The following is a 25,638-nucleotide window of genomic DNA, read 5'->3' as shown; positions in this document are numbered from 1 at the left end:
GTTTACTCTCTTGGAAGAGTTGTATCAGGTTGTAATCACAACTTCTGTGGAGCTTCTCCAGGGACCTAAATCTATTAAGGAACACTTTTAGCTGATAGTGAAACGTCTCGGCACCAGCATCTTAGCAATTTGTCTTACTTGAAGCTTAAATAGTAAAATATGCTTTCTCCCATATGTGCCTTATCTCTAATGGTCCCTTCTATCTTCTGTCACCACCAATGCCTGACAAATAGGGCAAGGGAAGATTAATCATGGATTTAGTGGTCTATTAAAGTGGTGACAAAGTAATTGGATAATCTATTGGAAACTAGTCAGTACACATTAATAAGCCATCCCCTACTAGTTGCCCAATTCTGTTTCATAAAGAGTAGAAAAAAAAGATGCAATACTTGCTCCAGGCCTCAATGAGCTTTGTAGGTAATAGGGAGACGCTATATACACAGAAACAAAAGAAACAGTTAAATGACAGTACCCAAGATAAATGACAGTTTTCAGAGATGTTACAAGGCAATGCATGATTGATTGCCAGATGAATGAAACAGACAATAAAGTGGTATGGGAGTTCAGAGGAGAAAGAGATAAGTATGGGCTGGAGTCCTCTGGGAAGAGTTAACAGAGGAGAGATTTGAGACTGACCTTGAAAGATAGATTGTATTTTATTGGTGGCAGGGAATTAGGGGCAGTGGGAGGTCCTGGGCTATGGAACTGGTATAAGCAAAAGCTGAATAACAGGAAAACAGAAACTTTTTGGAATACAGTGAAAGGGAGAATTCATTTCACCAGAAAAGTTTAGGAAAGTGAGTCCAAGAAGTATGTCTTGAGAGGTAGATGGGGCCTGACCATGGAGATTTTTCAATGCCAGGATAAAGAGTGGGGAAGATTTGCAATGTGTTCAAAGTAAAGCCTCAGGATGGATTCAAAAGGGAAGAGAATTGATAAGAGGGATACTTTAGAAATACAGGATGGGTTAGACAAGGGAAAAACTAGAGGCCAGAAGTTCAGAGAAGAGGCTATGATTAATTATGGCAAGACCGTGTTAAGCCCCAGAATGAGGATAGAAAGGGAGGACAAGTGTGGATACTGAGTTAGGGGTGGGGGAGAACCTAAATATAAGAAAGAGGCAAATGAAATAGAAAAGTCACAGACAGATGAAAGGTGTGAGCCTGGGGGATTTAAAGAAAGAATAAAAGGAGAAAGTTAGAAATAAGGAGCTCCTTGGAAGACTAGATTAAAAAGTTAGCTCTTCCTAATGAATTGCCATGGAATCATTGACCGTGGAAACAGAAATAGACCTTAAAAGTTATCTGGACTCCAGATACTAGATTTTAGAGCATCTGGAGATGTAAGTCATGTGGCCTTTATTTGAACTCTTCCAAAGGTAGAGAACTAAGTTTCTTGCAAAAAAGTCCATCTAATGTTCCTAAAGCTCTAAATCTTGGAAATTTTTTTCTGAAACTTTGGTCTAGTTGAAATAACTTTCCAACATTCACTGTAACCTGCAGGAATGACATCAGCTGGCTCTTGAGGTGGACAACTCCCTATCATTGGAAGTAATACAAACAAACAAATTGAACAACTGCTTGTCAGATGTTGTACAGAAAATTGATTTTTTTCAAGTGGGCAAACTAGATGAACTTCAAAATTCCTTTCAACTTGAAAAGCTTATGATTCCAAGATTTCACTTAGCAGATGAGAAAACTGAGCCTCAGAGAGGTTCAGTTGCCTTACCTAAAATCATAAGTTGATTCTGGCAAAATTAATATCTTAGTTCTTTTCATTTTTAATCTAAGTTCTCAGGAGGATATCGTAAATTCCTCCTAATTATCTTCTTTCTGTCCTTTAATTTCCACCCTTTGTGATTATGGGGCAGGAATACTAAGGTAGACAACTGAATCGTATAGATCAACAAATAAATTCAAAGTGGCAAAATGACTCTAACTCATGCATAGTGTGTCCATGGCTAGTGGTTTGCTCAGGCTGAGCCCAGTTTACACTTGTCCCGGCATAAGTATTAACAGCTCCCCTTTCACTGTAGAAAGTGGCCCAATTTGGACAACATGGTCATCCTACCAATGGCCAACCTGGGAGGCCCTAACACTCTTCTGTAATTCCCCAAACCTTGATAGAACTGAGCAGTTTAGTTCACATTAAAGCACAAACCACTGACTTCGTTTTATCTAAACTCAACATTTTATCATGTAAGCCATCCCCAAAAAGGCTCCTTTATGGAATTATATCTGTAGCCAACTTTGTGCTTTGTGGGATATTTCACCTGATACTTTTATGTACTTTGCAAACACTTAATATTACTAAATCCTCACATTTGGAAAGTGCTTTGGAGTCAATAAGCTTTCATTTAACTACTAGACAAATAATTAATACACATATATGACTTCTCGATTATGCTGAAAGGAATTCAGGAGGTGGAGAAAGTACCCTTAGCTGCCCTACATCAGTGATGTCTTAGTTCAGGCTGCCATAATAAAAATACCATAGACTAGGTGGCTTAAGCAACAAACATGTTTTTCTGACACTTCTGGAGGCTGTAGAGTCCAAGATCAAGGTACTGGCAGGTTCAGTGTCTGGTGAGGGGCTGCTTCTTGGTTCATAGATGGGAGTCTTCTGATTGTATCCTCATATGGCAGAAAAAGGAGCAAGAAAACTCTCTGGGGTCCCTTTTATAAGAGTGCTAATCTCATTCATGAGGGATCCATCACTTCCTATAACGTGTGGGGAGCATGCATTCAGTGCATTGCCATCTGCCCCTGCACACCTCCAAATTAATGGCCTTCTCACATGTAAAATACATTCATTTCACCTAAAAATTCCAAAAGTCTTAACTCATTCCAACATGAATTATAAAGTCTAAAGTATCATCTAAATATCATTTACATCAGATATGGGTGAGACAGCCTTGGACAAAATTTATTTCCAGCTGTGAACCTATGAAGTCAAACAAGTTATGTCCTTCCAAAATAGAAATGGTGAACTAGGCATGGGATAGACATTCTCATTCTAAAAGGGAGAAATAGAAAACAAGGAAGAAATGACAGGTCCCAGGCAAGTCGAAAACCTGGCAAGGCAAGCTCCATGAGATCTTAAGTTTGGAGAATACAGATGGTCTCCAACTTACGATGGTGGACTCACAGCTTTTTGACTTTACAATGGTGCAAAAGCAATACACATTTAGTAGAAACAGTACTTCAAAATTTTGAATTTTGATCTTTTCCTGAGGTAGTCATAGGCAGTACCGTGCTGGGCAGCAGCAGCAAGCCACAGTTCCCAGTGAGCCACTCAATCTTGAGGGTAAACAACCCATATTCTACAGTGCACTGTGTTGCCAAAGTTTTGGGAGATATTGTACTTTGTGTTTTTACATCCCATCATGTCTACAAAACGTCCATTTTTTACTTAACAATATTTCGAACTTACTGGGTTTATCAGGATGTAACCCCATAGTAAACTGGGAGCATCTGTAATCCTCTGGCTCAATGCTCTGCCTTCCAGACCTACACGAGTGGCAACATCACCCCCACAGATCAGCAGGGCAGTGCCAATGCTGTGGCTCTCTACAGTGGCCCTATTCATGGCATGATTCTCTGTTAGAACAGAAGCAAGTCCCCAGGGCTCTGCTGGACTCTTCCATCCCCACAGCTCTGCTGGGCATTGGTTTCCACCCTTTGAAATTGACGTGGAGACAGCCTTGTCACCTAGAACTGTGCACTTTGGGCCTGTGGTGGGATGGCAGCTCTATTGATCTCTGAATCACCTTTGGGATCATTCTTTACTTGTCTTGAAGAACTTCACATCCGAATAGTTCTATGGTCCAGTCCTGTAGGGTCTTCTTTGTTTCATCCCATTTTCTCAATTTCCTTTAGTCTCAGCTGACAGTGGTTCTGCTACTATAATCCCATCTCTATTGCTGGCTTTTGTAGAGATAGCTAATTAAGTCTGTGATTGACATCCACACTAATCTCCTTATCAAATAGTGGGTCTTTCACACCTTTTCAAACATATTTTCTTATTTTTTGTAATGTGGACAGACTGAGAATTTTCCAAAATCTCTAAATTCTATGGGATTTTTGCTTAACAATTTCATCCTCAATTCATTTATCTCCTCTCACATTTTTTCATTTTAATAACATTTTATTAACCAAATATATGTACAATATTATAATTTTAACTATAATCAAAATAAAACTGATTAATGAGCTATTTATTTATGTTTCATTTTTTAAATTATTAATTTTGATTGACAAATCATAATTACACAGATTTATGGAGTAAAATGTGATGTTTTCACATATGTATACGAGGTGGCATGATTAAATCAAGCTAATTAACATATCCATCACCCCGATTACCTATCATTTTTTATGGTGAGATATTTGAAATTTACTCTCTTAATTATTTAAAAATACTCTATATAATTCATTGTTATTGACTATAGTTACCCTGCTGCACAATAGATCTCAAAATTCATTCCTCTTGTCTATCTGAAACTTTGTACCCTTTGATATCCCCATTCCCTCCTCCTCTCCCTCAACCACCATTCTATTCTCTACTTCTTTGAGTTCAACTTTATCAGATTCCATATATAAATGAGATCATGCAGTATTTGTTTTTCTGTGCTAGCTTATTTCACTTAGCATAATGTCCTCCAGATTCACCCATGTTGTCACCAGTGATAGAATTCCCCGCTTCTTTAATGCTGAATAGCATTCCATTGTGTATATATACCACATTTTATTTAATCATTCATTTGTTGATGGACACTTAAGCTGTTTCCATAGCTTGACTATTGTGAATAATGCTGCGATGAACTTGGGAGTGCAAATATCCCTTTGACAGAATGATTTCAGTTTCTTTTCACATATACCTAGAAATGGAACTACTGAATCATATGGTTGTTCTATTTTTAGGTTTTTTGAGGAACCCCTATACCATTTTCCATAATGGCTATATTAATTTACATTCCTACCAACAGTGCCTAAGAGTTCCCTATTCTCCACATCCTCTCCAACACTTATTATCTTTCATCTTTTTTGTTAAAAAGCCATTCTAACAGGTGTGGTGTGGTATCTCAATGTGGTTTTAATTTGCACTTCCTTAATGATTAATGATATTGAGCATTTTTTCATGTACATATTGGCCATTTGTATATCTTCTTTTGAGAAATATCTGTTCAGGTCTCTTGCCATTTTTAATTGGGCTGTTTTCTTGCTATTGAGTTGTTACAGTTCCTTATATATTTTGGATATTATCCTCTTATCAGATGTATGGTTTGCAAATATTTTCTTCCACTCTGTGGGTTGTCTTTTCACTTTGTTAATTATTTCCTTTGCTGTATAGAAGATTTTTAGTTTGATGTAATCTCATTTGTCCAGTTTTGCATTTGTTGCCTGTGCTTTGGGGGTCAGAGCCAAAACATCCTTGCCCAGACCAATGTTGGGGAGCTTTTTCCCTTGTGTTATCACAGTAGTTCTAGAGTTTCAGCTTTTACAGTTAAGTCTTTAACCCACTTTGAATTGATTTTTTAATACGGTATAAGGCAGCAGTCTTCAAACTTTTTGGCACCAGGGATTAGTTTCCATGGAAGACAATTTTTCCATGGACTGTGGTTGGGGGTTGGTAGGGGGGCTTCGGGATGAAACTGTTCCACCTCAGATCATCAGGCATTAGTTAGATTCTCATAAGGAGTGTGCAACCTAGAGCCCTCATGTGTGCAGTTCACAATAGGATTCTCACTCCTATGAGAATCTAATGCCACTGCTCATCTGACAGGAGGTAGAGCTCAGGCAGTAATGCTCACTTGTCCACTGGTCACTTCCTATTGTGCGGCCTGGTTCCTAATAGGCCATGGACTGGTACCAATCTATGGCTCAGAGGTTCAGGACCCCTCATATAAGGGTCTAATTTTGTTCTCCTGTATGTGGATATCCAGCCAACATCATTTATTGAAAAGACTGTCCTTTCTCTATTTTGTGTTTTTGGAAACTTTGTCAAAAGCTGTCAGTCAACTTTTGTCAGTTAACTGTAAATGCATGGGTTTATTTCTGGGTTTCCTACCCTGTTTCATTTGTCAGTGTGTCTGTTTTTATGCCAGTACCATGCTGTTTTAATTATAATCACTTTACCTATGTTTTGAAATCAGCAAGTGTGATGCTTCCAGCTTTGTTCTTTTGGTGAAGATTGTTTTAGCTATTCAGGGTCTTTTGTGGTTCCACACAAATTTAAGGATTTTTTTCCATTTGTGTGAAAAATGACACTGGATGATCTTAGAGGAAAGGTGTTCAAAAAATGACATTGGAATTTTGATAGGGATTGCATTGAATCTGTAGATTGCTTTGGGTGGTATGAATATTTTTTACAAAATTAATTCTTCCAATCCATGAACACAGCATATCTTTCCATTTATTTGTGTTTTCTTCCATTTTTTAATTGATCTTCTATAGTTTTCAGTATGCAGGTCTTTTACTTCCTTGGTTAAATTTACGCCTAAGTATTTTCTTTTTTGTTGCTATTGTAAGTGGGATTGTTTTCTTAATTTCCTTTTCACATAGTTCATTATTGGTACAAGTTGAGCATCGCAAATTTCAAAATCCCAAACCCGAATTGCTCCAAAATCCAAAACTTTTTTAGCACCAAGATGATGCTTAAAAGAAATGCTCATTGGGGCATTTCAGATGTCAGATTTTTGGATTTGGGATGCTCAACAAGAAAGCATAATGCAAATACCTCAAAATCCTAAAAAATCTGAAATCTGAAACACTTTTTGGTCCCAGGCATTTTGGATAAGAGATACTCAACCTGTATATAAAATGCTACTGATTTTTGTATGTTGATTTTATATCCTGCAACTTTACTGAATTTGTTTATCAGTTCTAACAGTTTTTTGGTAGAGTCTTTAGGTTTTTTTAAATATATAAGGTCATGTCATCAGCAACTAGAGGCAATTTCACTTGTTTCTTTTCTATTAGGATATCTTTTATTTATTTCTCCTGCCTAATTGCTCTGGTTTTTACATATGACAATTATCAGAATTTGAAAAGAAGTGATGAGAGTGGGCATCCTTGTCCCTGATTTTAGAGGAAAAGCTTTCAACATTTTACTATTTAGAATGATACTAGCTATCAGTTTGTTATGTGGCCTTTATTATGCTGGTTACATTCCCTCTATACCTAATCTGTTGAGAGGTTTTTTTCTTTTTTAAATCATGAAAGGGTCTTGAATTTTGTCAAATGCTTTTTCTGCATCACTGAGATTATCATGTGATTTGAATTCTTCGTTTGTTGATATGGTGAATCACACTTATTGATTTATGTATGTTGCATCATCTTTTTATCTCAGGGATAAATCCCACTTGATCATGGTAAATGATTCTTTTTATGTATTCTTAAATTCAGTTTGCTAATATTTTATTGAGGATTTTTGCATCTGTGTTTGTCAGGGATATTAGCCTGTAGTTTTCTTTTTTTGTTGTGTCCTTGTCTGGCTTTGTTGTCAATGAGCATCAGAATTTATTGGATCACCTCTCTGACACTAGGGTTGGATGGGGCCAGCTGTTCCTCCATGGGTAATCGCTGGCCTAACAGTTATCCCTTGGCCTGGGGAAGAGTTAATCAGAGCACCCAGGTTGTCTGAAGAAGCTAGCTAGGGATTCAAGCCTGGAAGACCCGTGGACCATGTTTCCTGCAGCATGGTGCTATTGGCAAGCTCCTCTGATGTGGCACTTCCATTGGCAGGAACACAGAGCAGCCACCAAGATCTATACATTGATTACTGTGAGCCCCACCCCATTTTTTGTTTCTTACTGACCCCAAGTGACCTAGCCCTGCTGGTACTACCAATGTTTCCCGTGGGACAAGACAGGAGTGGACTTCCTTTGAAGGGTCCCGAAATGTGAGGAAGTTGAATATCTGCCTTCAACTCTCTTTTCCCACTTAGAAACCATAACTCCAGGGAAATTCTCTGAGGCACTGCACCAGCTTGAGGGGGAAGCGGCATAGTCAAAGAGAACCATTACTCTTACCATTTGACCCTGGGTTTTCTCAGTTCTGTGGTCCAAGGGGGTTGTCTCAGCCTCACTCCAAAGTTCTGGGATATTCATAATGGTATTCTTGCCTGTGGATAGTTGCCAGTTGGATTTCTGTAGTGCAGGGAGTGAAGCTGGAGAACTCCTATTCCACCATCTTGTTGATGTCACTCTCTATCTTACATTTTACTATAAGCAGTCAGGAGGAACCAAATATCCTCAGCTAAATATCGAATTTCATCATTCACAAGTTCTACTTTCCATCAAACACTAGAATACAAACACAATTCAGGCAAGTTCTTTGCCACTTTATAACAACAATCACTTTTTCTTTATTGTCCAGTAACATGTTCTTGGCCGGTCCACATTTCTACCAAAATTCTGTTCATGATTGCTCAGGTATACTCTAAGAAGATAGAAGCTTTCTCTACAGCTCTCCTTTTCCCTTTCTGAGCTCTCACCAAAATCTCCTTTAAAATTCTATTCAGAACAATCTAGGCTTTCTTGGCATGTACCTCAAAACTCTTCTAATCTCTACCCATTACCCAGTTTCAAAGTTTTTTCTACATTTTTAAGTATTTGTTATAGCAGTACTCCTCACTTCTCAGTACCAATTCCTGTCTTAGTCAGTTTGGGCTGCTATAAAAAATTCCACAGACTAGGTGGCTTAAAACGGCAAACATTATTTCTCACACTTCCGGAAGCCAGAGAGTCCAAGATCAAGCCACTGGCAGACTCAGTGTCTGGTGAAGACCCACTTCCTGGTTCATAGACAATTGTCTTCTTGTGTCTTCATATGGTGGAAAAGGGACTGAGATGGGTCTCTGGGGTCTCTTTTATAAGGGCACTAATTCGATTCATGAGGATTCCAATCTCATGACCTAATCACCTCCCAAAGGCCCCATCTCCTAATACCATCACCTAGAGGGTTAGGATTTCAACATATGATATGAAGGGGGTACACAAGCATTCAGTCCATTGCAAATGAAGAATCCGATCGGAGCAATGGACTGCATGAATGTATTCACCTAAGTATTTTACAGAGAGTAAAAATCAAACACAAAAACCCAACAACCACACACTGAAAGCTTTAAAGAAAACTACTTTCTTTAGCATTTAGAGATCCGTGGTTTGTGTACATGCCACAGTTTTAAATCTGTCTTCAGAATGGATTTTTAATCTGTGTCAACAAGTAAGAAGACCTGTAATGATATACTGTACTAGTTTCCTAAGGCTGCTGTAACAAATTACTGCAAATTTTGTGGCTGAAAGCAACAGAAATTTATTTTCTCAGAGTCCTGGAGGCTAGAAGTCTGAAATCAACATGTCAACAGGGCCATGATCTCTCTGTAAGATTTAGGGGAGGATTTTTTTTTTTTTTTGGCTTCTTCCTAGCTTCTGGTGGTTGCTGGTAATTCTTCGTGTTCCTTAGTTTGCTGACACATCACTCCAATCTCTGCCTTCATCATCACATAGTATTCTCCCCTGTGTCTGTTCCCTCTGTATCTTCACATGGTGTTCTCCTCTCTGTATGTACCTATGTTCAAATTTCTCTTTTTATAAAGATAGCAGTCATTGGATTGAGGCCCACCATAATATAGTATGATCTCATCTTAAATGTAATATGTCTTCAAAGACCCTACTTCCATATAGAATCACAGTCACAGGTAGTGGACGTTAGGACTTGAACATATCCTTTAGGGGGATACAATTCAATCCACAAGAGTCCACCCTCTAGTCCCCCCCAAATTCATGTCCTTCCAATGTGCAAAATACATTCACTGTCATCTCAACCTCTTCAAAAGCCATAGCACATTCCAGCGTTAAATCTAAGTCCAAAATATCATTTTGTAAATAATCTAAATCAGGTATGAATGAGACTCTGTGTATGGTCCATCCTCAGCAATATTCCTCTCCATCTATGGACGTGTGAAACCAAGAAAACAAGCTATATGCTTCCAAAATACAATGTTGAGACAGGCATAGGACAGATATTCCCATTTTGAAAGGGATAAAATGGCCGGGCGCGGTGGCTCATGCCTGTAATCCCAGCACTTTGGGAGGCCGAGGCGGGCGGATCACGAGGTCAGGAGATCGAGACCATCCTGGCTAACACGGTGAAACCCCGTCTCTACTAAAAATACAAAAAAAAAAATTAGCCGGGCGTGGTGGCGGGCGCCTGTAGTCCCAGCTACTAGGGAGGCTGAGGCAGGAGAATGGCGTGAACCCGGGAGGCGGAGCTTGCAGTGAGCCGAGATCGCGCCACTGCACTCCAGCCTGGGCCACGGTGCGAGACTCCGTCTCAAAAAAAGAAAGAAAGGGATAAAATGGAAGGAATAAAATGGTTGTGGGTTTAAAAAAAAATTGGCAACCCAGCAGGGCAAATTCCATCAGGTTCTCCAGGCCTGAGAATAATTCTCTGGGGCTAGGTGTTCTGTTCTCTAACCCTACTCTCTTAGCTCACTGGAGAGTCAATCCCCCCACAAGCCCCTGCACAACCAAGGAGACAGCCCCACCTTCTGGAACCCAGGAGACAACTCCACCCTCTGGAACCAAGGAGGCAGTGCCTCTGCCCCTTGGGCCCACATTCTTTGGGCCTATGATGGCAACAGCAGCATCTCTGGCCTCTGAGCCTCTCTCGGCAGCCTTGCTGGCCTCTGAGCTACCCCTGGAAGTCATTCTTCCATTTTCTTGAAGGATAACACATGTTCACAGCTGAGTCGCTTTATCAGTGTGTTTCATGCCTATAGAATCTCAGAAGTCTGACAACCTTCCTTCATTTTATCCCATATCTGTACCCTTAAGTCCAAGTTCAGTCCAATCTGACAGTGTTCTGCTGAAGTGGTTAATCGGAGCCAGGTGTCCCACATCTAATCTCTCCAGCAAAAGTTTGTCCAGACACACCCTTGATGTTCTCTGCAGGGCACACTTTCTTGGGTTTTGCAATATGGATAGGCTGAGAATTTTCTAAATCTTCTAGTTCTGGTGACTTTTTGCTTAATAGTTCTGTTATGGACTGCATTGTGTGCCCTCCACCCAAATTAATATGTGGATGCCCTAACCCCTAATGTGACTTTGGAGATAGGACATTTAGGAGGCAAATAAGGTTAAATGTGGCCATAGGGTGGGGACCTAATCTGATAGGATTAGTGGCCTTATAATAAGAGGAAAAGAAAGAGGTGTTCTCTCTCTCTCTCTCTTTCTTTCTTCTCTCTCTCTCTCTCTGCATGCACACGTTGAGGAAAAACCACAAGAGTACACAGTGAGAAGGTGGCCTTCTACAAGCTAGGAAGGAAGCCCTCACCAAGGACTGAATTGATTGATACCTTGATCTTGGACTTTCCAGCTGTAAACTGTGAGAAAATTAGATTTCTGTTTTTAAACCACTCAGTCTATGCTATTTTTTATGATGCCTGAGCAGACTAACACAATTTCTTTCCTCAGTGTATCACTTCCCTATCACATATTACTATAAACAGCAAAGAGAAACCAAGATGCACCTCTTATACTTTGCTTGGAAATCTCCTCAGTCAAATATTCAAGTTTATTGCTCACAAAGTCTACTTTCCACCCAACAGTAGAGCAAAATCAGCCATGTTCTCTGCTACCTTATAAAAGTATTACCTTTCCTTTAGTTTCCAATATGTTCCACATATTCACATGAGGCCTCATCAGAAACACCTTTAATGTTCATATTTTTAGAAACACTCAGTTCAAGGCAATCTAGGCTTTTTCTAGCATGTGTCTCAAAATTCTTCTAGTCTACCCATTACCCAGTTCCAAAGCCACTTCCACATTTTTAGGTATTTGTTACAGCAGCACCCCATTTCCCAGTACCAAAATCTGTATTAGTTTCCTAGGGCTGCCATAATAAAATAACTACAAACTGGATGGCTTAAAACCAACAGCAACTTGCTGTCTCACAGTTTTAGAGTCTAGAAGTCCCAAATTAAGGTATCTGCAGAGCCATGCTTTCTCTGATGACCCTAGGGAAGGATCTTTCTTTGCCTCCTCCTAGCTTCTGGTGATTGCAGGCAAACTTTGGCATTTTTTGGCTTGCAGATGCATCATTCCAATCTCCACCTTCATTGTCACCTGGTGTTCTCCCCTGTGTCTGTGTGCTCTGTATCTTTACAAGGTGTTCTCCTCTTTGTGTGTGCCTGTCTGTGTCCAAATTCCTCTCTTCTTATAAGGATACCAGTCATTGGATTAGGGCCCGTTCTAATCCATTATGGCCTCATCTTAATTTGATTATATCGGTTAAACCCCTATTTCCAAGTAAGGTCACATTCATAGGTACCAAGGGTTAGGACTTGAACATATTTCTGAGGGGACACAGTTCAATCGCCACACATACTCATCCAGGGTGGGAAGCATCAACTTTTTCTTACAGAATAGGATGTACACAAGGAATATAAATTCCATCACCTCAACTGCTGAACCTAAGTAATGTCCATTTTACCTATTCCTTTGTATTCTGTAGGCAATTTAGATGATGAAATTTAATATTATACCCAGGCAGAGCTCTGAATTTCTTCCACGCAGTCCTGTGAAACCTTGCACATTCTAGAAGAGCTTCACTTGTCACTCTATACAGGAATGATCTGTTTTAGAATTTGTTTCCTCCAGTAGACTATAAATTCCTTGAGGGAAACAACTATGGTTTATTCATCTCTGCATCTCCAGTGCCTACCATGGTAGATGATACATAATAGGTTCTTAGTAATTATTGGAGGAGAGGAGACTGGGAGGGAAAAAAAAGATGCTTGTAGAATTACAATCTAGTGACTTGGGGAGTAGAAAGGTTCTAGGAGCTCAAAGTGCCAAAGCCAAGAGTATGTCACTCCCTCAGGACTCTCCATCTTCTATTCTAATCACCCTAGAGCTTTCCAGTGTCTTAATGTACAATAAACATTACAATCACAAAGCAATCCCAGAACATGTGAGCCTTTAGTTCATCAAAATAGCTTTCCCTTCCAGAAGGTTCCAGGTTAAATCAACAGTAGCTTAGCACGTAACCAGCATGCCAGAAGTGGGAAGGAGTGGTCAGAGAGGGCAATGTGCAGGCTATGTCTTGGATATCTAATTCATGTAAATTGATCAAGGATGAATACTTAATGTGCTAGAGCCCTCAGTAGCTAGCTCTCTCTCTCTCTCTCTCTCTCTCTCTCTCCCCCCACTGTCAACTGATGTCAGAAAGAAAATATAGTTCTTTTTAAAGTCTTGTCATGCCTTTACACACCCAACTCATTATAATGTCAAGAATGAAAAGCTCTGTGTACGCCTATGTCTGAACTTCAGGGGAAGGCAGAGAAGGAGAAAATCAGACATTCTCAGGAATTAGTGAAAAGGTGTAAGAGTCCTTGGAGTTTTTTTGGTGCTCACCCTTCCCTTCTTTCAATCTCAAAACTGTTGCTGGTATACCCTTGCTTTCCCTACAGTCATGAAAGTCAGGCTGTGAAATACAAATGCAGCATTTAACAAAAAATGTTAAGGCACATTAACAAAAAATGTCAAACTCAGTACCATGAAAGAGGACACCAAAAAGAATGCCACTCCATGTAGGCAGGGGTTGTGTCTTGTTCACTATATCTCAAATGCTTTGAAAAGTGCCAAGCACAAAGTATTTACTCAGTAAATATTTGTTTAATGGATTATTGGATGAATTAAGCTGATTAATCAGGAAACTGCTGTAGGCAGTCAGAGCGTGGTATTCCTAAAAGAATACTCAAGGGATTCCTAAAAGAATCCCCTGAGATGAAACTGTCGTCCAGGTAAAGCAATGCTCTGCTCACCTGGCAGCCAGGAAGGAAAGTGTATACCTCCAGGAGGTAGTTAAAGCCTTATTATAATATTCCCTAGCCCAGAGTCAGAGCCTTACCTCCTGTCTTTATTCCCTGGCTAGAGAACCAAGGCCAAGGCTAAGACAACACATTTTTGCTTGAACTAAGACAATAGAGTGATTGGCCAAGCAGTATAAAGATCATTACTCCTGGCCGGGCACAGTGGCTCACGCTTGTAATCCCAGCACTTCAGGAGGCCGAGGCAGGCAGATCACTTGACCCCGTCTCTACTAAAAATACAAAAATTAGCCGGGCGTGGTGGTGCATGCCTGTAGTCCCAGCTACTTGGGAGGCTGAGGCAGGAGAATCACTTGAATCCGGGAGGCGGAGGTTGCAGTGAGCCGAGATTGCGACACTGCACTCCAGCCTGGTGACAGATCAAGACTTCCTCTCAAAAAAAAAAAAAAAAAAAGATAATTACTCCTGCCTTCAGCTTCTATTCCAGGGTCTGCCCCTCTATTATTTTTCTTTTTGAAACGACTGGCAAAACAAACAAAAACGCACACAAAGTATCCCAGGTCCCAGGTATTGGCTCCAACTTTCAGTCTTCCCCTTCACACGCTCTGACACCTATACAGCAGGCCATTTTAGACTTAGCAGCAGATTTTCAGGCCCTCTTTAATCCGTCTCTGTGATTCATCCTCCATTCTCTCTTCTCGTTTATTTATTTTAGATACCTGCAGCAGAAAACAACCCTTTTCTTGTTGGAATGCATTGTTGGTACTCCAGTTACAGCCACCGGACCCAGCACTGCAATGTTTGTCGAGAGAGCATTCCTGCCTTATCTAGAGATGCCATCATCTGTGAAGGTACCTTTCTGATTCCTTTAGGAAGTGAAGCTCAGTGGGTAGATATAGGGATGAAGGAACTCATGTGGCTTTAGTATCATTAACTCATACTAGGTCACTGACTCTGGTGTGAGGTTAACCCTGATTGAGGAAAGAAAAAGGGAGGAAACTAACATAAAGGGGATGAAAATAGAAGGATGAGTGTGGGGGGATGGGACTATATTATCACAAGTGTTAAAAAGACAGAAATCACCTCATTCTTACCATCAATTTTCATTCAAGTTGGATAATAAAAAGATTAGCCAGTAAGAATAAAAAGGAACTGGATCCTATTGGAAATAGGTTTTTGGAGGTGCATTAGAACTATTTAGAATGCATCTGTGTTCTAACTTTCAGAGCAGCTTTGGGAAGAGAATTAGAATCCTCACTGTCACCAGATTCACACCCATCTTTTCTCTTCCTCTTCTCACAGTGTGCAAAGTGAAATCTCACAGATTGTGTGCTTTGAGAGCAAGCAAAGACTGCAAGTGGAATACATTGTCTATCACTGATGACCTCCTTCTGCCTGCAGATGAAGTAGTAAGTACTAGCCATGTCTTCCCACAGTCGGCCTCTCCCATGTCCCCTTCAACCAGGATACACAGGGGGAGGAAGACTTCTTCCTAACTCCAGATAAGCAAAGTCCTAGGCTCACAATCCAACTTATCTGGAAGAATGAACCTCCCTCCTCCACTTGTCATTGTTCACTTGCATTGGAGTAGGGAGGGCAGGGTCATTTGGGTCATTTACCTAATGTCCTCCATGGAGTAGTACAATTATTCCAGTTGGCCCTTCCTCTCCTTATGTCTCTAACTTCTACCTCCTGTGTCTTTTTACCCTTCTGCAGAACATGCCCCATCAATGGGTAGAAGGAAACATGCCTGTCAGCTCTCAGTGTGCAGTGTGTCATGAGAGCTGTGGCAGTTATCAAAGACTTCAAGACTTCCGCTGCCTGTGGTGTAATTCTACGGTAAGACTCTTCTCATCTTGATATTTAGAGAACTTAACTCCTGGCGAGGGAGTGGCTTAGAGCTTGACCATGTATACACATAGATAGAAATCTAAGAAACTCTTATCTCAAAACAGGTTAAACAGATTCCATAGTATAAATCTTAGTATCCTGCCTTTCCAGATCTGACTATGGAGCCTTTCTTTGGGAGAAAGATTTAAGACCATCTTTGTTGCTTCTTAATTGGTGAGGCCTACTAACAAATGGGAAAAGCTGAGCTCTCTAATGGCAGTATGGGCAATTAAAAATAAGTTCTGAGTCTGCCTTTGAGAAACCTACTCCCTTTCTCATTCACTATTTCCTAGGAACTTGTAACCTTTATTAATTAAAAATGGTTGATAATATTAACACATTATTATTGCCACTATATACTGAGTGCTTAATATACATGATCTCATTTATTCCTTCCAATAAGCCTAAACCGGGCCTCATTGTTCCCATTTTACAGATGAGGAAGGTGAGGGTCAGAAAAGTGAAGGGGTCCAAGGTCATTTGGACCAATTTCATTTGTCCAAGGTCATTCAGCCAGTAAGCAAGAGTCTTGATTCATACATAATTCTGCAAAGACTATGCTCTTTTTTGTTTTGTTTTGTTTTTTGTTTTTGAGACAGGGTCTCACTATGCCGCCCAGGCTGGAGTACAGTGGCACAATCACAGCTCACTGCAGCCTCAAACTCCTGGGCTCGTGTGAGGTGGGCTCCTCTCACCTCAGCCTCCTCAGAGTAGCCGGGACTACAGGCACATGCCACCATGCCCAGCTAATTTTTTAATTTTTTTGTAGAGACGGAGTCTTGCTATGTTGCCCAGGCTGGTCTCAAACTCCTGGGCTCAAGTGATCCTCCTACCTTGGCCTCCCAAAGTGCTGGACTTATGAGCATAAGCCACCGTTCCCAGCCGACCACACTCTTAACTACAACACTACCATGCCTCTAAACCAGTGGTCCTCAACTGGGGGTAATTTAGCCCCCCAGGAGACATTTGTCAGTGTGTGGAGACATTTTTTATTTTTGCAACTCAGGGTGGAGGGAAGCGCTACTGACATGGAGTGGGTAGAGGCCTGGTATTCTGCTGAACCTCCTACAATGCACAGGTCAGCCTCTCATAACAAAGAACTATCTGGCTCAAAATATCAGTAATGCTGAAGTTGAGAGACCCTGATCTAGATTTCTAGCCTTTTAGATGCTTCTCCAAAACTGAGTTTTCTAGACAAGAAGAAACTGAAGTATGGGCTTCTTCTTAGAAGACTCTGGTTGTCCTCTGTTTTTTTTTTTCAATTGCTTTTGAATAACCAGGCCAGGTTCATTCCCCCTAGAAAATGTGTAATTTTCCAGGAAGTGGCACTTGAAGATGTCAGAAATCTGGAAAGAATGGCCGCTTGTGGGAAAGGCAGCAGAGTCTCAGCTGTCACTTCCCAGCTGTTTGACCTTGGGCAAAACCCTTTACCTCTCTGAGCTTTGGCATCTTCATTTTTAAAATGAATTCAATAGTGTTTTTTCTACCTCACACACCTGTTGTTATAAGGATTGAAGTGTAATATTAGATTATTATTATTAACTCTTTTATACTGCATGTAAGTTCCCCATTCTGCAGGCCACTAAGGTTGTGCCTTAGAACTGGTGATTTCTCAGTGCCTGTAGGTGGGTATCTTCTGAAAGCTACCTTTGAAAGGACCAGAGTTCTGAGGCCACACTGAGAGACAGTGTAGGCTCAGAGTAGAATGGGGGTGTTCAGGTGAGTTAGGGATATATGTATGGCACCAAATCTCAGAAAGGGAGATTAAATACTAAGAATCTAAATCTTGGTATTGGAACTCAAGACTGATCAATGATATCCTTTTCTCTCCCCCTCCTTTTTTTTCTCTGCTCTTCTCTTGTCGTTTCAGGTGCATGATGACTGTAGGAGACGGTTTTCCAAGGAATGTTGCTTCAGAAGCCATCGCTCATCAGTCATTCCTCCCACTGCTCTAAGCGACCCCAAAGGCGATGGTGAGTAGTTAAATCTTAACCTCAGAAGCACATTGGGCATGTAGGGAAGGTGCAAAGGCTGGGAAGAAGCACTGCAATTAAATTATTCTCCTCAACCAGTCAAACATTTTGGGGAAGTAGGACTGTGCATGTGTATATAGATAGCTCCTGGTTCTCTTACCTTTGGGATTGTGAATGTTGTTCTTTCTGGTGTATATGTATGTGGGCATGTTCTCTGTAGCTCGGTCACAATTGTTTCTGATCAGAATTGATTTCAGCTTTTTCATGATTTCCAAACACTGGATAAGTCATTAAATAAGTTTGTGTCCAGGTGGTCAAGGAAGAACTTCATGAAGGCCAGGTTATCTTACTTTTAAAATGGAAACAAACACCAATGTTGTTCCTAAATATGAAACTAACATGATCATTACCCCAACTTCACTGATGCTTTGTCAATTCCTGGACTCTAGTGATTTATTAAGAACTCTGTTCTCAAGGTGTCTGAAGGCTACAGAAAGATCTAAGACATGGGCATTGCCAGAGCTATTGATTATTGTGGATTCAGGCTACTGATATAATACAACAATTAACAATTTGATGTGTCATATGCTAAGTGCCAAGGGAATGGTAGAGACATTTGGAAATGAGAAAACCTTAGAAATATTAACCATTTATAGGAGGTTGAGCGGAAAGGAGGTAGTAATGAAATCAATGCAGCAAGAATAAACTTTGTATAGAGTCTTCTATCAAGAGGTCTAGCAATGTTAGAACAAAAAAAGCAGAAGCCAAGAAGAAGGGTATTTTGTATAGTTTTTGTGTTTGTTTAAGAATAAGTAAGACATGGAGGTATCATGACGTAAGGAAAAAAAACAAGAGCTAGGCAATTATGAGCTTTAGTTACTTACTAGATATGTGATGTTGGGTTAGTCACTTACATTCTCTGAGCTTTGCTTTCCCCATCTGTAAACGGGAATGAAGCTATCTATTGTGAAGATAGATGATAATATGTGAAGGGCCTAAGTATCTAAAAACATAACCTCAAAGGACCATAAAATTAAATCCCTCAACTTCTTGGGCAACTAAATATCTAGTCTCCTAGCCTAATAAAAAGTGCAGACCCCACAGGGATGATTCACTCTTTGGCACCTGCCTTTTGAATTCACCTCTCCTTCCCTACTTTTTCTTTGTTTTTTCTGAGAGACTCTCCTTTTTGCCATTGACTTGTTCATTTACTTCTCCCATTACTCATTATTAAAGAGTGGGAACTGTCAAGATCAAAATCATATATCACAGCTTAAAAGACCTAACCTATTTTACTAATACTAAGAGATTTAGAAATCTAATATACTTACCACTGACATACTACTATTTCACTAAGCCAGGGAAGAGATACACTGCTCATAAATTTCAGTTTGTGTATGATTAGTTTCACTCTATATATGGTCAATTTCACTTACTGGAGGAAAGTTCAAATTCTTCCTGGAATGTTTTAATCTATATTTCTCTAATTTGCTAATTTGTCCATCTCTGACGTGTGGGATATCCACTGGTCCAAGAGTGATTAGTGAGCCCTCGTTTCACTGACTTAAAAATTATCCCCACATAGATGCTAGTTGCTCACTTCACTGCCAGGGAAGAGCCAGCATTAGCTGGAAGCAAAGAAAGGAAAAGAAAGAAGAGTAGATGGTTTCCTTAGAGAACAGAAGGGGGCAAAGATTCCTGTAGCCGTTACAACATAGTTTTAGAACTAGACATACCACATGTGTATGTGCGTGCTCATATATATGTGCACGCGTACACACACACACACACACACACAGCCACTCTAGATCCTTCCGGTTATTTTTCCAACCCTAACACAGATATAGCTAGACCTTAGTACATGGAATGAGCCATTCATACAGGTTTCTGCAGGCAAGTATACTCATATGTCCCCATAATAACATGTAAAGACACAAAACTGAATTTCACTCAGGTATACATGCATATATTATTCTCAGATCTACTCAAATAGTTATCCATATGGAGTCACCCACCAGGTAGTTGACCAAAGAGGTGATGAAATTGATGACTTAGTAAATAAGAGATACTTGCCTAGTTAGGAGAATGAGGGACTAGGGGAAGATGCAGTTGATACAAGAAGAAAAGTAGCAAACTGGTCAGCTGAGCAAAATCAGGCTGGTAGTGAAATCAACCTAGTTTTGAATCTGAGACATTTTGCTCACCCCCACAGGGACCTGACAAAGATGTCTTTAAGCAGATGGCCCACCTCAGCATGCCACAAATGACCCCAAATAGGTGTTAAGAGGGTTGCCGCCTCTCCTTTGTAACTGGGCCAAACATGTTCTGTGCTTCCTGTCCTTGTGTTGGTGTTTTTAAAATTTATTTCTTCCTATCCTATATCACTTCTTATGCTTGTTATAGCTTGTCAAATAATGGCATTGTTACTTTCTTCTTCTTTCCACCAGTGATATAATATTATTGCTTAGGAGCACCTGGGCTAATCTATTCTTTTTGTTTGGTGTCTTATTTAATATCCCATGAGTTAGCTTTTAACTTTTCCTCCTAGTCATCTGCAATCTTGATCCAATTGAATCTCACTCACTGCCAGCCCTTCTTTCTATCATGCATTACTTGTCCTAGAACTTCTTAGAAATGTCTTTCAAACTTCCCTATCTTCTTGACTCTGTCTTCCTGGCTTCTTGGCTGTGGCTTTATGCCCTTTAATGGGTAAGTTTCCTACTGGAAGGTCCCATCCCAGAGGAATCTTTTGCATCTTCCAGTCATAGAATCTTAGCCATGTGAGGTCCTTAAAGATGGTCTGGTTCAATGCCCCCTGGCTGAGCTAGAGAATCCTTTCTTCAGCACCCAGCTGAAGTCATGAGGGCATCCAGCTCATGACTTTCTGAGAAGGCCCTTGCTAGCGTTGAGTCACACCCATCTGTTCACGTATATATTTATTCAGTCAGTAGACTCTAATTTCTGAGAATTCCTTCCAATTATCCCTTTTTCCTATCCAGTCTGCTTGGTATATTCCTTCTCTTATCCTTTAGGGTCCAGCTCAAAATTAAACATTGTCTTCTCTGTTTGACAGCTTCTGTAATGGCCTCTTCCCACTCTCCCAAACAAATCAATTACTTCTATGGCTATAAACCAAGAAGACATATCTCAAAGCACCTAACACATGACATTATAATGGTGTCCATCTTCCACCCCAGACTGTGAGCTCTCTGTATCCTTAGCACTTGACTCAGACCTGGGTATACGGTATACACACAGTCAAGATTTGTTACATGAATTCCTTAATACATTTACTGAATACTGCCTGTATGTAAGGCTCAATGCTGAGCAACGACTAAGATAGCATCACTGGCTCATATGGAGAAAAAATAGTGAAGTGCAGTGGTTGTTGTATCAGAAGCATCTGAAAGGCTTGTTAAAACACAGATTTCTGGGCACTACCCCCAGAGCATTTGATTCAGTAGATCTGGGTGGGGCCCAGGAAATTGCATCTCTAACAAGTCCCAGATGTTGCTGATACTACTAGTCCTAGAAACACACTCTATCATTTACTGTATGCCCCTGGACAAGTTACTTAACCTCTCTGTGGTTAATCTGGCATTTGTTTTCTGCCAATAAGGAATAACAATTGTACTCAGGTGTGTCATGAAGGTTAAATGAGTTGACATTTGTAAGGGAGGATTTTAAAAGTACGGGAAGAGAATGGTAAGCCAACCTATGCCAATTTCGCATCTTTCTTTGGAGTGAACAGAATGAATTTGAGTGGGACTGTTGGCTCCCTGTTTAGGGCACTATGGTTATATTAATGCAGCTCAAAGAAACATGAGCTTTTTTTGAAAGGTTCTTTCAGGCTGTTGACTCATCAGGAGCTTAAAGTCAACTAAGTCCCCTAAGCTCTTTTCACACTTGATGCTGCCAAGTCAAGTTCGTATTGTCCTGTTCTGGTACAATTTATGTCCTTGAGCCTAAAGGGCAAGCTTCACATTTATTCCCTTTACATTTCATCCCTGGACTTTGACCAGTCAGCCTGTCAAGGTCACTTTTCAATCTTGATTCTGTCATTAAGTATCTCTTCCTCCAGCTTTGAGTACTTCAGAGTTCACAAGCCAGACTTCTATGTTTCCATGTGAATTGTCAATTAAAATTGTGGAATAATACTGGGCACTCCCTTATGATTAACATCAGTCTATTCAAAAGCAATCTTGTGGAAAGGATTGCCTGGTTATAAATCTTAACATTATTACATTTCTGCCCTCAGTGGCACCCATCTTTGTCACCTGGTTCACAAGATTCTCTTGACAAACTTGGCCTTGCTGAAATTCAGATATTCTCTTCCTCAGGGGGAAATACTAGATGGAGCTGCCCCTGTAGTCTCCTGGGACTGCCTTCCTGCTGGGGCTATGTCCCACTGTCTTCCCATCCACAGATGAGGTTTGATGTTAAAGTTCAAGTTGCCTTAATTACAGAATTTTCTCCCTAAGCTTCCTATGCTCACTCTAGTTTACACCCTCATGGCTATTTAATTTATAGACAGCATTAGCATAATTCTTTTTTCCTATTTCTTAATTCAATTCTTGTCTAGTTAATATATTCACATGGTTCAGTTTTTTAAAAAAGAAATACATATATACACATAATACTTAATGAAAAGTCTTGCTGCTATCTTTTCTCTGATCTTCTCAATCTCCTACAGCCCCCATATCCTCACTCACAGTTCAATACTGCCATTAGTTTCTTAAATACCTTCCAGTAGTTCTTCATGTATATACCAGTAAATATAAATAGATATTCTTATCCACCCCTTTTAATACTATGCACATTGTTCTGCGCCTTGCTCTTTTTCTCCTTCACAGTATATTTTGGAGACTTTTCCTTATCAACAAATTGCTTCCTCGCTCTTTTTTACAGTTACAAGATATTCTGCTGTATGGATACACCATAACGTACTTAACCAGTCCACTATGATGAATAATTTAGTAGTTTTCAGTCTTTTGCTATTGCAAATAATGCCACAGTGAACAGCCTCATGCATATCCTTTTACATACACGTCTATATGAAAAATTCCAAGAAATGGAATTACTAGGTCAAAATGCATATGCCTCTGTAATTTTCATAGATACTGTCAAATTCACCTCTACAGGGCTTGTGTCACTCAGCACGTCCATTCTTGGTGTATGAGAGTGCCTATTTCCCCATGGCCTCCCCAGTCAAGTGTGTTATCTATTTTTTTTTTTTTTTGCCAATGTTCTAGACAAGAAAAAAAAATGTTAACATAGGCTAGTTTTAATCTGTATATTTCTTGTTATGAGTAAGTTTGACCATCTTCTCATCTTTAGGAGCCAAATTATGAGCATAATGATTGGCTTTTAAAGGTCCATTTTCATCTAAACACTGGGAAACTAATTTAAGTTTTTGAATGATTCATTTTGAAGATAAGGAAACTGAGGCCCAAATAGTACACAGTGGTTGGTCTCACTGCCACTGCTGTCTCACCTTTAGAGAGGAACTACCCCCAAAGGGCCTTTGACACTAAACAAAACAAAAACTTTGGGGGCATAGATAGGTTTATTCCAGGACCTCTGGCAGGGAAAGTGCTTGCTTCCAAGCACACCTCAGAGAGCCACTAGATGTTGGCAAGAAGTTGCTTCCATGAGTCCTTTAATTAGGGTGCATACCCAAAGTCATATGCTCACTTAGAGGGTGTTGACAGAGGGTTGCAGAGTGAGAAAGGGAAGCACAGAGCACAGACAGGTTCTAAAACAAGGGAGAGGTAAGCTTGGGGCTAGGCCATGAATTGGGGCCTGCATTGTTCATTGGTAGGGGAGCAAGCACATAAAAAGTTAACACCTTTTGACTACTTTCTTTAAATATCTTAAGACCTGACTCGTGACGTCTCAAGTCCATGCTGAACAGTCTTCCCCTTATTTTTGCACTGCTTCCTCCAACATCTTGTTGCCATTGGATCTGTCCCATGTCACCTCTCTGACCTCATCTTCTGCCACTCCCCCCCCACTCACTCCACAATAACCATACTATTCTCTTCACTGGTCCTCAGACAGCCCAGACAGTCTCCCTTTTCAGGGTCCTGGCACTTATTCTTCTTCCTACCCCCAAAACACTCTTCCCTGCATTGCTCACTCCTGCATTCATTCAAGTTTCATCTCAAATGTCACCTCCTGAAAGAAGCCATCCCTGACACTCTGTCTAAAATAACACCCCTTCCAATATCTACCCCCTTTCCCTACCTTATTTTTCTTCATGGCAAATTCTTTTTTATAATTCTTTGTTATGGTCTGTCTCCTCCATTAAAATATAAGTTCCACAAGGGCAGAGACTATTTCTATCTTGTCCACCACTGTATTCTCAGGACATAAAGCAGGCACAGAGAATGCCCTCCATACATATTTATTGAATGAAGGGATTAATGTGTCTTAACTACCATTGTGTCAACATATTACTTTAGTAAAAAAATGTTGGAAGGGGTACTACTTTTGGATAATGTATTCGGGGAAAGTAACTACTTCCGAGCTATGCTAGTGAGGGGACCCAGCTTCTACAAGACTCCCCTTGTAGCTGTGAGTCCTGGCAAGTCCTAAAAATTTGGTGCATGACTGGCTAGCTGGCTTAGGATGCCTTCAAGCTCCACTGGCCAGTGAGTGGGAATTGGCCCATAGGGGAAACCTGCCTTTGATTTTTCCAGGCAAACCAGTTATGAAATCTGCTCAAGTAGATTTCCTTCAGGCTCCCTTTCACCCAGGCTAAAACAAATGGGTCTTCTCAACCCACCTCCTCCCACCCCCACTGAGGAGTGAGCCACATGCTTTTTGCCCTGTGTATTTATTTTTGCAGAGGCATCCCTGTCAAGCCACAGCTCCGAGGTCTGGGGGCTCACTATTTGTCTAGCATCTCTTAGGAGGCCATTGCACACTGCCTGTCTCCCTGCCAACAGGCTCTGAGACTCAGCACGAGCTGGCAGGCTTTGGTTATTTAGACTGCTATAACCCTACTTCTCTATGGGTAACTACAATATTGGAGATTATTAAAAGCCTCTCCCTTGTTCAGATAATTTTCCTATAGTCTTGTTTCCCCAGGGAAGTTGGTGAGATAACACAGATTGCTCTGCAACAGCCTTAGAGAAGTGATTAAAGCTCTTTGCTTCACCCCACATTGATACGTTCTGTTATTAGCTCCTGGCTAAATGACAGCCTTTCCTTCCCCTCTCTCCTGACCTGGTATCTTCTCACTATAAGAACTGAGGTATCCTGGGCAGAGAAAGGACTAGTTGTGTGCTGGTCTTCCTCCTGGGTTCTCAATCCTCTCCTTCCTCAGTTTCCTCACAGTTTTACTAATCCTTTGTTGTGGCACCAATTTCTTTATTCCTTATGTTCCAACATACTGTTGTGTATGAGTCTCTCTCCTGAGCTTGAAGGCAGGGACTATACCCCTAGCAGTATCTGGCATGATGCTTGGCATGTGGTAGTGGCTCAGCAAATGTCATTTGTCTGACAACAGCTAGACAAATACAACAAATACTTTTAAGCCCCTCTGGGTGGTATCTTGACTTTTCCTCTGCTCCTCATTTTCAAAAGACTGAGACTCATACTCAAAAAGTTATTGCAAAATGTGATGTTAAGTCATGTCTCGTTTCCATCTCAACGGGTCCGTTCTTTTTTTTCTTCTTTTTCTTTTCGTTGTGTCAGGCCAATTAGTAGTATCTTCAGACTTCTGGAATCTTGATTGGTCATCAGCCTGTTCATGTCCCTTGCTCATCTTCATCAACTCCAAAAGTGGCGATCATCAGGGGATCGTCTTCCTCCGAAAATTCAAGCAATACCTTAACCCATCTCAAGTGTTCGACTTATTGAAGGGTGGACCTGAAGCAGGGTAAGCCTGTATCCCATGGATATGATTGGGTATGTAAGGGAGTCTTCCTTCTAT

General features: G+C 40.5%; 1 protein-coding gene across 1 annotated transcript in view; it reads left to right on the top strand.

Annotated features, from left to right (window-relative positions):
- DGKK (diacylglycerol kinase kappa) overlaps positions 1–25,638 on the top strand; it is a 105,417-nt gene that overhangs the window by 52,090 nt on the left and 27,689 nt on the right. The window contains exons 5-9 of the mRNA NM_001013742.4: positions 14,552–14,687; positions 15,139–15,245; positions 15,553–15,675; positions 17,597–17,699; positions 25,401–25,584. Coding sequence (NP_001013764.1) covers positions 14,552–14,687; positions 15,139–15,245; positions 15,553–15,675; positions 17,597–17,699; positions 25,401–25,584 — 653 coding nt within the window. The remainder of the gene's footprint in view (positions 1–14,551; positions 14,688–15,138; positions 15,246–15,552; positions 15,676–17,596; positions 17,700–25,400; positions 25,585–25,638) is intronic.

The sequence above is a fragment of the Homo sapiens genome, chromosome X (assembly GCF_000001405.40).
Source record: "Homo sapiens chromosome X, GRCh38.p14 Primary Assembly".
In the NCBI taxonomy this organism is placed as follows: domain Eukaryota; kingdom Metazoa; phylum Chordata; class Mammalia; order Primates; family Hominidae; genus Homo; species Homo sapiens.
This window is presented reverse-complemented; position numbering and strand designations above follow the sequence as displayed.